Source organism: Homo sapiens, chromosome 3, assembly GCF_000001405.40.
Source record: "Homo sapiens chromosome 3, GRCh38.p14 Primary Assembly".
In the NCBI taxonomy this organism is placed as follows: Eukaryota; Metazoa; Chordata; class Mammalia; order Primates; family Hominidae; genus Homo; species Homo sapiens.
This window is the reverse complement of record NC_000003.12, coordinates 102,233,624-102,235,102: the sequence shown is the minus strand read 5'-3', so window position 1 is coordinate 102,235,102 and position 1,479 is coordinate 102,233,624. Positions and strand designations below refer to the sequence as shown.

The 1,479-nt window shown below is 36.8% G+C and overlaps 1 annotated feature.

The window, feature by feature from the left end:
* Positions 822–901: an enhancer, noted in NCBI's record as "active region_20188". NCBI's record gives its function as "activates an Ori minimal core promoter by ATAC-STARR-seq in GM12878 lymphoblastoid cells {active_cell/tissue: GM12878}" and the evidence as "EXISTENCE:reporter gene assay evidence [ECO:0000049][PMID:35858748]".

The window sequence follows — 1,479 nt, the reverse complement described above, 5'->3', positions numbered from 1 at the left end:
ACAGAAACGGTTAGACACTAACTTTTTTTTTTCAAACTTCCAGCTGCATATCACACAAAATAATTACATAGATTGTGGTTTTCTGAGATTTCTCATTGACAAGAGATCAAACATCCTTTTGTCACCTGGGCCTAATGGATAACATTCAGTTGTTTTAAGAAGAGATGAAACTCAAAGTCAAAAACCAAAGCAAAATTTAACAAATGACAAAATCATGAAATAAGACCAAAGAACCAGTATAAAACCATGTGCTGTCTTAATTATCTGAGTTCCCTACAGTTCAAATGTTATAAAAGCATCCCTATGGAATTGTTTGGTCTTTTATCTGAAAGATGTCCAGAATTTTCATTTCTCTAAACCTATCATAATCATTGGATGAATCATTGATGGATAAACTTGGAGAGTGCTGGGCTGTGTAGCATTAAGCAGTGTACTAAATAAAACAATTGCTGTCCTTGCAGTAACCTAATGTGGCCAATGTATGAAGCAAATAATAGAGAAGCTGAGAAAGCATACTGAAAATGATAAATCATGCAAATAAGCATTATGCTCATAATAAAAGAGAGTAACATCACAAACATCATTATAGAAGAGAGCTCCAACTCTCTCTCTCTCACACACACACACAGACGCACAATTTGACCAAGTTGATGAAATAAATCAGATAAAGAAATGCACAGCAGAAGTTAAAAAGTTATGGCAACTGTGAAGGTAAGACTCGGCTTTGATACTTCCTACTAATTTTTGGTTTGGGGATTCATCATTTGTGAGGTAGCTTAATGAAGCCCCTTATCCTTGTTTTTTTCTTTGTAATTCTCTGGTTTTCTTTCCATCTTAACTCTCTGAATAACTTTGGAGCAGCCACCAAGCTGAAAGCAGAAGGCCAGATTGCTAGCAGCACCTCTCTAAATACTGTTTGGGCTACAGTGAGCAGTGGTGTGTGTCCAGTCTGTGCATGTGGTAAATTATGTGAAACAACCATCCCCAAGAGACCCATGTTACTATATCAGGAAGTTCACAGTGCATATCTGAAGGATCTCTTTGTTCATGAAGGCTTAAGCAAAGTTCAAAGAAAATCTGCTCCCCAGTGGATAATCTTAAATCAAAATCAGGATGCCACACGCTTGATTCATGAGCCTATAAAACCCTATGGGTCCTGACATATATGGACATACTCTTGGATTCCCAGTAATTCTTCTTTTGCTCTTTCCCCTAACAGCATCAACTTTCCTTAGGTCATCTTCACATCCCAGGAGTTTGTGCAGGAAAAATTTCAAAAGCCCCTCTTAGAGTGCATTTCTTTAAAAAATACTTGACTGTTTATTAGTATTCAAACAAACCTAATATCAGCCTTGAGTCCTCAGCTAAGAACAATTTCTTACTGATCTATTTTTGTCACATGAACTTAGAGATGACCTGCAATGCCAAGAAACCTAGAGAGATTGATATTGACCTCTCATGGCAAATATGTACTAGACA